We start from the raw sequence: 10,880 nt of genomic DNA on the forward strand, positions 1-10,880 counted from the left end.
TACATCCCCTTTCTAGTACATCCCTGAAGGACAGCGGTGAAGGAAAATCTTCCCAGTGGGCAACTTCGAGCAGTGCACCTGGTTGTGCCCTTTGCATGGAAGGAGTAATGACCAGATGTGTGATTGTATACTGACTCATGGGCTGTAGCCAATGGTTTGGCTGGATGGTCAGGGACTTGGAAGAAGCATGATTGGAAAATTGGTGACAAAGAAATCTGGGGAAGAGGTATGTGGATGGACCTCTCTGAGTGGTCAAAAACTGTGAAGGTATTTGTATCCCATGTGAGTGCTCACCAATGGGTGATCTCAGCAGAGGAGGATTTTAATAATCAAGTGGATAGGATGACCTCTTCTGTGGACACCTCTCAGCCTCTTTCCCTAGCCACCCCTGTCATAGCCCAGTGGGCCCATGAACAAAGTGGCCATTATGGCAGGGATGGAGGTTACACATGGGCTGAGCAACATGAACTTCCACTCACCAAGGCTGATCTGGATATGGCCACTGCCGAGTACCCAGTTTGCCAGCAGCAGAGACTAACACTGAACCCTTGATACGGCACCATTTCCCAGGGTGATCAGCTAGCTACTTGATGGCAGATTGATTATATTGGACCTCTTCCATCATGGAAAGGGCAACCATTTGTCCTCGCTAGAATAGACACTTCAGATATGGGTTTGCCTATCCTGTACGCAGTGCTCTGCCAACACTACCATCCATAGACTCACGAAATGCCTTATCCACCATCATGGTATTCCACACAGCATTGCCTCTGACCAAGGCACTCACTTTACAGCTAAAGAAGTGTGGCAGTGGGCTCCTGCTCATGGAATTCACTGGTCTTACCATGTTCCCCATTGTCCTGAAGTAGTTGGATTGATAGAATGGTGAAATGGGCCAGGCGCGGTGGCTCACGCCTGTAATCTCAGCACTTTGGGAGGCCAAGGTGAGCGGATCGCCTGAGGTCAGGAGTTGGAGACCAGCCTGACCAATATGATGAAACCCTGTCTCTACTAAGAATACAAAAATTAGCCGGGCATGGTGGCATGCACCTGTAATCCCAGCTACTCAGGAGGCTGAGACAGGAGAATCGCTTGAACCCGGGAAGTAGAGATTGTGGTTAGCCAAGATTGCACCATTGCACTCCAGTCTGAGCAACAAGAGCAAAACTCCGTCTCAAAAAAAAAAAAAAAAAAAAAAAAGAATGGTGAAATGGCCTTTCGGAATCACAATTACAACGCCAGCTAGGTGACAATACTTTGCAAGCCTGGGGCAAAGTTCTCCAGGAGGCTGTGTATGCTCTGAACCTGCATCAAATATATGATACTATTTTCCCCATAGCCAGGATTCATGGCTCCAGGAATCAAGCAGTGGAAGTGGAAGTGGCACCACTCACCATCACCCCTAGTGACCCACTAGCAAAATGTTTGCTTTCTGTTCCCGCAACATTATGTTCTGCTGGCCTAGAGGTCTTAGTTCCAGAGGGAGGAACGCTGCCACCAGGAGACACCACAATGATTCCATTAAACTGGAAGTTAAGATTGCCATCTGGACACTTTGGGACAGGACCTCCTCCTGCCTCTAAGTCAACAGCCTAAGAAGGGAGTTACAGTGTTGGCTGGGGTGATTGACCCAGACCATCGAGATAAAGTCAGTCTACTGCTCCACAGCGGAGGTAAGGAAGAGTATGCATGGAGTACAGATTTCTTAGGGTGTCTCCTCTGTGATTAAGGTCAATGGGACCTCCTGCCCTGTAATTAAGGTCAATGGGAAACTACAACAGCCCAGTCCAGGCAGGACTCCAGTTGGCCCAGACCCTTCAGGAATGAAGGATTGAGTCACTCCACCAGGTAAAAAACCATAACCCAGGCCAGGTGCGGTGGCTCATGCCTGTAATCCCAGCACTTTGGGAGGCCGAGGTGGGTGGATCACCTGAGGTCAGGAGTTCGAGACTAGCCTGACCAACATGGCAAAACCCTGATTCTACTAAATACGAAAAATTAGCCAGGCATGGTGGCGCATGCCTGTAATCCCAGCTACTTAGGAGGTTGAGGCAGGACAATGGCTTGAACCTGGGAGGTGGAGATTGCAGTGAGCCGAGATCACACCATTGCACTGCAGCCTGGGCAACAAGAGTGAAACTCCGTCTCAAAAATAAATAAATAAAAAATAAGAACCACAACCCGCTGAGGTGCCTGCTGAAGGCAAAGGGAATACAGAACAGGTAGTAGAAGAAGGTAGTCATCAGTACCAGCTACAACCACGTGACTAGGTGCAGAAATGAGGACTGTAATTGTCATGAGTATTTCCTCCTTATTTTATTAGGAATATGTTTGTGCATGTATACCCTTGTACTAAGAAAATATCTTCACTTTATTTCTTCTTTTTCCTTCTACCATGTGACATAAGATTTATTGACTTCATATCAACATTTAAGTGTTGTTAACTTTATATAATATCATTTAGGTTAAGGATTAGTGTGCTTCCAGTTGTACGAAGGACAGCTATATTATGTTAGGTGTAATTATGACTTTATTATTGTCTTTATTTGAAAATTACATATGATACCAGGAGAATGTGTATGGGTTCAAGTTGACAGGGGGTGGACTTGTGATGATTAATACTGAGTGTCAACTTGATTAGATTGAAGGATGCAAAGTATTGTTCCTGGGTGTTTCTGTGACGGAGTTGGTAGAGGAGAGTAACGTTTGAGTCAGTGGACAGGGAGAGGCAGATTCACCCCCAATCTGGATGGACACCATCTAATCAGCTATGAGCGCGGCTAGAATAAAGCAGGCAGAAGAAGATGGAAGGACTAGACTTTCTGAGTCTTCCAGCCTTCATCTTTCTCCTGTGCTCGATGCTTCCTGCCCTCGAACATCAGACTCAAGTTCTTCAGTTTTTGGACTCTTGGACTTACACCAGTGGTTTGCCAGGGGCTCTCAGGCCTTTGGCCACAGACTGAAGGCTGCACTGTCGGCTTCCCTACTTTTGAGGTTTTGGGACTCAGACTGGCTTCCTTGCTCCTCAACTTGCAGATGGCCTATGGTGGGACTTCACTTTGTTATCGCGTAAGTCAATTCTCCTAATCAATTCCCCTTCATATATACATCTATTAGTTCTGTCCCTCTAGGGAACCCTGACTAATACAGGGTCTTTAGGGAGATTCCTGCAATGAGCAATGAAGTCCTTTGCAAGTTTCATCTTCCTGAGCAAGAGTCTCAAGGAACACTAAAGTTCTGCTAATGCAGACCTTGGGGGTAGATGTCCAAGTTATGGCCTCAGCAGGTGAAGCAACATCACCAAAAGCCCAGCGGAGAGCCGTGGAGTCAGGAACCGACTTAGAGTGACACCTAGAGCCAGGTTCTCCTTAAAATGTGCCACCATTGCTGGTGGAGCTTTCCAGGACCCACCGGCCCCAGTGGGCACCTGAGAGCAGCAGCTGTGTCCCCTTCACCCACCCAGAGACCTGGCTCCTCCAGGCACCAGAGCTGCCACAGGGCAGTTGGCTCCCTCCGGAGTGGGGGTTGGAACCAGTGTCGAGCCCAGGCGTATCCCCTGGGCTGGGCTATCCCCGTCCCTCTGTTGGGACACGCCCCCTCATTTTCTGCTTATCGTGTCTGGCTGGTGGTGGGAAGATGGACAGCTCGCCTGGCTGGACCCGGTGGGGCCCTCCACACATTACTCTTTAGGGTCCTGTGAGGAAGCAGAGGGCACCTTTGCTTGGCTGTGAGGACAGACTGTGCCTGCAGCCCTGCCGCTGGGGAGAGGTTCTCTGCCGAGTCAAACCAGAGCCCAGACCCCAGGAAAGGGACCAAGGGCTGCCTGCTCCACCTCTGTTTGGTTATTTCTTATTGGGGGGAAGAGGAATCCAGGACTTTCCTTGAGCAATGCCAGATGCGTCCACACCCATGGGCTTCCTCTCCTCAACCTCAGGACACACGGCCCTGCTTCCTCCTTGTGGCTAACTAGCCCCACTTCTGCCCCTGCTTCCTCCTTGTGGCTGACTAGCCCCATTCCTGCCCTAGGTTCCTCATTCTTTTCTCCAGAGAGGCACGCTCTGTCACCATGTGCCGGCTCCAGGACAGGGGTTTTCGGAAGACCCATGGAATTATTCCATCCCCAACCCCTGGGCAGGGACCCAGCAGCTCACGGAGTTGACCCAGCCTGACCCCTCACTACCTCTTCCTCACCAATATCCCACCTCGTCCAGTCCTCAGGACAGCCCAGGCCACCCCTGCCTCCTGACTCAGGCATCAGGCCCCAGCCTGGGAGCATGAGGTTTATTGAGCACCTGTTATCCCCCTGAGTGGGAGGCCTCCCAGCAGCCCCATGCCTGTGTGAGGAGCAGGGACTGTGGGTCCACACAGACCGGGGCTCTCCCCACCTGGGATGCGGGACCTTGGACCAGCTCCTGGCAGGCCATGCCAATAAGGGCAGGTGAGAGCTGCAGCCCCTTCTGCTGAGAGGGAGAGACAGCCCTGCTGAGAGTTGGGACAGTCATGCCAAGAGCAGGGAGTAGTGGTGCTGAGTTTGGGGGACAGTCATGCTGAGTTGAGGGAGAGTCGTACTGCACAGAGCAGTCTTCTCCCTCCCCTCTCCCCGTGTCCCTAGGTCCAAGCAATGGTTTCTCTTGGCCTTCCTCCCCTTTGCTCCATCTCCCAGACAAATGGCCATAGTCCTCCCAAGGGTTCTTCCAGCAAAGGGAGCCACCTGGATGGAATGCCAGTCCTCCTCGGGTCTCCAGGGAAGAGTGGGTAGATTTGCTTTCCCCACCTCCTGGTAGGTGTGCTTGGGGGGAATGCTGCTGCAGAGAGCAGGGTGCGAGGATGTTCTGGGGCTCTGCAAACACCAGCGGACACCAGAGAAGCCAAAAATCCAACCTCGAAAGGCCTGGGGCCGGGGTAGGCACCATTATCCACCAGTGCCGCGTCCCCACAGACTCCTTTCTCTCCCTCTCCCTTTATCCCACACTCCTTCTCTTTCCCTGCCTCTCCTCCATGCCTAAACAACACTTTCTTGTGTTTAGTGCATAGCTTTTTATTTTAACCATGTTCTTTCAAAATGAATCTGTGTGTGTGTATTTTTAACTTAGGTAAATGGCATCTGTGGCACCTGGCTCTGAACATTACTTCCTCCACCGAATTTGCATCATGCACGTGTGACTTTTACCATCACCCATCCTGGTGCATCTGCATTCAGCCCGACGCTTTCCACAGCCGTGCCACACTCCCCGGGCTGCACCTACTGGGTGACCCAGGTGGCCTGTAAGCCTACCTTCACTCCCAGCGCCAATGCTGCAGTGCCACCCCCGCCCCCAATCGCCGCCTCCCCCCCCTACCCGCCCCCGACGGAACCTGTGTCAGAGTCCTCCTGGCTCACACCAAGGTGGGGACTTCGAGCAGTAAAACTGGACTGTATAGAAAGGCTGTGCTCCAGTGGGGGCCGTGCTGGCTGTTTTTTTTTTTTTTTTTTTTTTTTTTTGAGACAGAGTCTCGCTCTGTCGCCCAGGCTGGAGTGCTGTGGTGCGATCTCGGCTCACTGCAAGCTCCGCCTCCCGGGTTCACGCCATTCTCCTGCCTCAGCCTCCTGAGTAGTTGGGACTACAGGCACCTGCCACCATGCCCAGCTAAATTTTTTGTATTTTTTAGTAGAGACGGGGTTTCACTGTGTTAGCCAGGATGGTCACGATCTCCTGACCTCGTGATCCACCCGCCTCGGCCTCCCAAAATGCTGGGATTACAGGCATGAGCCACCCCGCCCGGCCCGGTGCTGGTTTCTACATTTTCCCACCGACTCTTTGCACGCTCCTGCTTCCTGAGTGTGCCCGGGATTTGGAACATCTTGCTGGTGCTCATGAGCTTCACAGTGGACAACGTAACTGCTGCCCGAGTAAACTGCTCCTTCCTAGCTTTCTCTGCGGGAACTGCTGCCTTTCACTGCTCATGCCTTAGCTCTAGACATCGACCTTTGTGGGCTTCAGACATTGCAAATCTCTTCTTCCTTTCTATCAGCTCTCCGTGGACTTTGCCCCCTACAGTTTTTTGAGCTAGTAATTTTGGCTTCTAAAGTTTTCTTAGCTGAGTGTGGTTGCTCATGCCTGTAATCCCAGACCAGGTGTGTGCGTGTGACCCGTGAGGCTCTGCAGTGGAGAAGACAGACCAGGTGTGTGCCTGTGTGTGTGTGTATGTGCACGCACACCGTGCTCCCCCCTCAGAGCCTCGGTTTCCCTATGTGTAGCGAGTTTGAACCAGAATCCCAGCACTTCAGGAAGCCAAGGTAGGAGGATTGCTTGAGCCCAAGACTTCAAGACCACATGGCGAGACCCTATCCCTACAAAAAAATAAATTAGCCAGGTGTGTTGGTACATGCCAGTAGCCCTAGCTGCTCAGGAGGCTGAGGTGGGGGGATCCTTTAAGCCCAGGAATTCGAGGCTGCAGTGAGCTGTGATTATACCACTGCACTCCAGCCTGGATGACAGGTTGAGACCCTGTCTAAATAAATAAGTTTTCTTTAAGAAGGCTTTTGCAGCCCTTAAGCCCTAAAGATACTCTGCAGTCTTTTGGCTTTCTGATTTTCTACTTTTCCAATCTGGCCCTTTAATCCATGGAGTCCTCCCGTGTCTGTGACCCACAGGTGTAGAAATTCATTGCTGACCTCTATCTGCTAAGCAAACATCAACCAGACCACATGCTCCTTCCCCATTGGATTTGCAGTGTTGCCTTTGGGATTTAAGTTCCCACTTGGGTCAATGTTGGCCATGTCTCTGGGCTCTTGGTTCTAGGCCGTTGCTCTTCTTGCCAGTGCCACGTGGCATTTATTGCTGCGTCTTTGCAGGGCATCTTCCTATCTCACAAGACAAGCCCACGCCCTTTGCCCTTCTTTTCTAATGTTGAGCTAGCCATCTGAGGACCTTAACTCCTCCATCACTGCTGAGCTCCACAAGCACTCTTGATTGCGATTGCGTTGAATTTGTGGGTTCGTCTGGAGACACTCGGCATTGTCCTGACATCAGGCCGCTGCTTCTGAGAGTGTGGAGCGCGCAGAGCCCTGCCCGTCTTCAGACTGTCTTCCACATCTTGTATCAGAGTGGACATTTTTGGTTGATTCCTAGATACTTAATGAATTCTGTTCCTGTGGTGAATGGCATCTTTTTCAGAATTATATTTTCTAATTGGCATTGCTGGGGAAAAGAAATGGTTTGGACTTCTGTAGGCCCAATATGTCTAGCAGAAATAGGCCATGTATCTGTCAGTCCTACTGGTGTTTTTCTACATAGATCATTTGATTAGGAAGAAGTCAATGACTCACTAAAAACGAAGCCCAGAAAAACTAGTTCTCCATTGTCTAGAGTGGTAAGAACTCATTCTTTACACACGTGCACGAACGCACACATGAGTGCACACACACACACACACACACACAACCTGGTCTGTCTTCTCCCCTGCAGAGCCCCATGGGTCCTGCTTGGTGTTATGTCTCGTGCTCCATTCACAGCACACCAGGGACACAGGTAGCAGAGCTCAAGCCTGCTTGAACAAACAGGCCAGGTATTCATAGAGTTCTGGTAGCAAGGGAGTAAATTCTGCCCGATTTCTTTCCTCCAGCCTCAGAGGTGTCTTCTTCCTCTTCCTGGAGTGACTGGGGGGTGGCTACCAAGTTTGAAAGGCAAAAGCCGACCCAGCAGACCCAGTTCCCTGCCCCTGGTAGCCTCTCCAGAGGGCACCTGATGGCAGGCCCCTCTGGAGGATGGGTGCCTCCTGCCAGATAAACTCCCTGACTCCAGATAGTCCAGGCTGCAGTGCCCAGTGGCAGCCCAGGCCAGGGAAAGGGTGGGCGAGAAGCCAGGGCTCCAGTACAGCTTTGAGCAAGCTCTGCAACAGGACGGACTCCAACCATTGAGACCAGATGACCTTTCAGAGCCTTCTCTGCTGAAGCTGACTCTCCTCTCCACCCCCTGACCCCCCACCCTGCCCCGCTGGCTCCGTCTTCCAATTCCAGGAGTCACTGTCGCCGTCAGCTGGTGACCCTGCCACTACTCAGGCCTCATGGGCAGGCAAGGGTCCCCCGGCTCTTGTGTCAGGATCTCCTTTGCAGTAAGAGATCCTAACATCTGTAGAGAATGGGTTCAGCAAAAGGCACACCTGCCAACAGGGTGGTTTGTTCCAGTGCTCAAGGCAAAGCCGACCAATAACATGCTTAGGACGTGGGAATGTGAGATGGGGCAGCTGTGGTAGAAACAGGCTGGCAGCTCCTCCAACAGCCCCCAGCAGCAACCTTGGGAATATACCCAAGAGAAATGAAACAGGCCTCCACACAAACCCCCGCACAAGCACGTTCATAGTAGCACACTTCACAATCCCCAAAAGGTGGAGGTGACCCAGGTACCCTCAACAGAAAGGGATGAACACAGTGTGGTCTCCCCACAGAGGGGAGAGTCCTTCCCCGTTTCCTCTGTCCCCGTGCTGTCACCTCCTCCCTGCCCAGATCCCTGGGCTGGCAGCAACATTGCCCTTTATAAAGCCCCCTACCAGCTACAAAAGGTGAGGTGCTTATCAGCCCTTATGAGGGAGCAGAGGGCAACAAGAGTGAGCCACGGAAGGCAGGGAGCATGGGTCCAGGCAACAACAGGGCAAGCCCTCCTAACATGCCCCACATGAGAAGCCAGGCCACACAGCCCAGGATTCCACTGACGGGAAATCGCCACAATGGGCCGATTGACAGACAGAGAGAACATTCCTTGTGGCCAGGGGATGAGAAGAAGGGTGGCAGGGGGGTAACAGCCAAAGGGTCCAGGGTTTCTTTTAAGGTGATGAAAATGTCCTAAAACTAGAATATGATGATGGCTGCACGATCCTGTAACTATACAGAAAACCTGTGCACTTTAAAAGGGCGAATTCCGCCAGGCGCAGCGGCTCCCGCCTGTAATCCCTGCACTTTGGGAGGCCGAGGTGGGTGGATCACTTGAGGCCAGGAGGTTGAGACCAGTTTGGCCAACATGGTGAAACCCCATTTCTACTAAAAATACAAAAATTAGCCAGGCGTGTTGGCGCATGCCTGTAACCTTAGCTACTGGGGAGGCTGAGGCAGGAGAATTGCTTGAACCCGGGGGGTGGAGGTGGCAGTGAGCTGACATCACACCACTGCACTCCAGACTGGGCAACGGGGTTAGAATCTGTCTTTAAAAAATAAATAAAATAAAATAAAATAAAAGGGTGAATTCTATGGTCTGTGATTTACATCTCAACAAAGCCTTTACGTTGGACAAAGAGTGCTGGGATGAAGGTACCGAGTGGGCCTCCCCCAGCACCCAGGCCCAGGGGTTCTTAGATGGTGAGGAAGGGAGCCTGACTCTGAATACTTTAAAGGGGGGATTTTCTCTAGCCCAGGATAGCAGGGTGGGACAGGCCCTGCTCTGCTATGCAACATGGTCTTTTCTTCCTCTCCCCTCTTCCTTCCTTCTTTTCTCCTTCCCCTTTCCTCTGTCCCAGCACTGTCACCTCCTCCTTGCTCAGACCCCTGGGCTGGCAGCAGCAACATTGCCCTTTATAAAGCCCCCTACCAGCTAGAAAAGGTGAGGTGCTTATCAACCCTTACGAAGGAGCAGAGGGTGAGAGTGAGGACGTCGGGCATCACCACCCAGAGAGACAAACCAATTCATGCTTGGGACTATTTGGAGGTCAGCGTCGGCCTTGAGGCAGAGGAACCTGGGGCTCCAGCAGTAAGCATCCCTCACCCTGCGGCCCACTTTAATTTCCCAGAGATAATAGCACCGGCGCCGAGTATCTGCCGGGCACCTGAAGACGGATGGCCAGTGTTTGCAGGGTAATAGTTTGTGTCAGAGTAAACTGGAATTTATACCCCGGGAGGCAGATAATCCCCTTTAGAACTCTCCAGCCTCCCTGGGACTGGAGGGGCTTTCACAGGCCGCTTGCTGAAGACATAAACAAAGACAGCTCCACGGAAGCACCCTGCTGGCCCCAAGTCCTATTTTTAATATCTTAATTGAGTCTCCAAACCCTAGAACACGGTGGCGCGACCAAATCTCCAGCCTCCACCGACAGCTCTGTGTAGGAGAGAGGTCACTGTCACCTTCCACAAACCCGGGAAAAACAAACTGGGAAGCAGGGTCGGTTTTGGAGAAGGGGCAATTGCTGTTTTTTTGGTGGTGGTTGTTTTTGTTGTTCAGCTTTGTGTATATTTTTAAAGCTTATGAACAGATGAGAAAACTCCAGGCACGTATTCTCACCTAAGTTAAACTAATGGTTCTCAAAATCCCAAATTATTTTACTGCTTTTTGTTCCCCAGAACCAGCTCACAATCTGCTTCGCGCTTGATTTAAAGGCGCTGACAAGCTGCTGCCCGCTCCCCAGCACGGTGGCGAGACTGGATTGGGACTGTCATATATAATGCATGGAGTCAGGGCCGCGAGCCGGGTTGTACGCGTGTGTGATCCGCTCTGGAGCGCTGTTCCCAGAGCCATTGTGCAAACATATTTACTCTGCATAAAAGAATGGGATGAAGCTGCAAAGGACATTTGTTCATCGAAGTGGATTTAATTTTTAAACTCGCATTAGGACAGGATCAACCTTGCTGAAGGGTATGGTGATGTGGGTGGAATGTATAAAACTAATCTAGGATCCACGTTGCTACGGGAGGAGCGCTGGGTGGAATTAAATATTTATTGCACATAAATACCTTGTCCGCCACCTCCCTCACCCCTGCACAGTCACCTCTGTGTAGCGGGTTCTCTGCTACAGTAGAGGGCAGAGCACGGGACCACGGCTTCTTCCATCCTCCCAGCACCCCGATCTGGTCATGGCAGTGACAAGAGACAGCTGGGGGTGGGCACGTGGGTTTGCAGGCTCACACACGCACATGC

At 51.6% G+C, this 10,880-nt stretch overlaps 4 annotated features.

The window, feature by feature from the left end:
- Nucleotides 3,092-3,950: an enhancer, noted in NCBI's record as "H3K4me1 hESC enhancer chr9:137820358-137821216 (GRCh37/hg19 assembly coordinates)". NCBI's record gives its function as "activates a minimal SCP1, AML or CMV promoter by ChIP-STARR-seq in naive H9 embryonic stem cells {active_cell/tissue: H9 hESC(naive)}" and the evidence as "EXISTENCE:reporter gene assay evidence [ECO:0000049][PMID:30033119]".
- Nucleotides 3,951-4,808: an enhancer, noted in NCBI's record as "H3K4me1 hESC enhancer chr9:137821217-137822074 (GRCh37/hg19 assembly coordinates)". NCBI's record gives its function as "activates a minimal SCP1, AML or CMV promoter by ChIP-STARR-seq in primed H9 embryonic stem cells {active_cell/tissue: H9 hESC(primed)}" and the evidence as "EXISTENCE:reporter gene assay evidence [ECO:0000049][PMID:30033119]".
- Nucleotides 5,289-5,408: a silencer, noted in NCBI's record as "silent region_20482". NCBI's record gives its function as "represses an Ori minimal core promoter by ATAC-STARR-seq in GM12878 lymphoblastoid cells {active_cell/tissue: GM12878}" and the evidence as "EXISTENCE:reporter gene assay evidence [ECO:0000049][PMID:35858748]".
- Nucleotides 7,617-7,676: an enhancer, noted in NCBI's record as "active region_29291". NCBI's record gives its function as "activates an Ori minimal core promoter by ATAC-STARR-seq in GM12878 lymphoblastoid cells {active_cell/tissue: GM12878}" and the evidence as "EXISTENCE:reporter gene assay evidence [ECO:0000049][PMID:35858748]".

The sequence above is a fragment of the Homo sapiens genome, chromosome 9 (genome assembly GCF_000001405.40).
Source record: "Homo sapiens chromosome 9, GRCh38.p14 Primary Assembly".
NCBI classification, from domain to species: domain Eukaryota; kingdom Metazoa; phylum Chordata; class Mammalia; order Primates; family Hominidae; genus Homo; species Homo sapiens.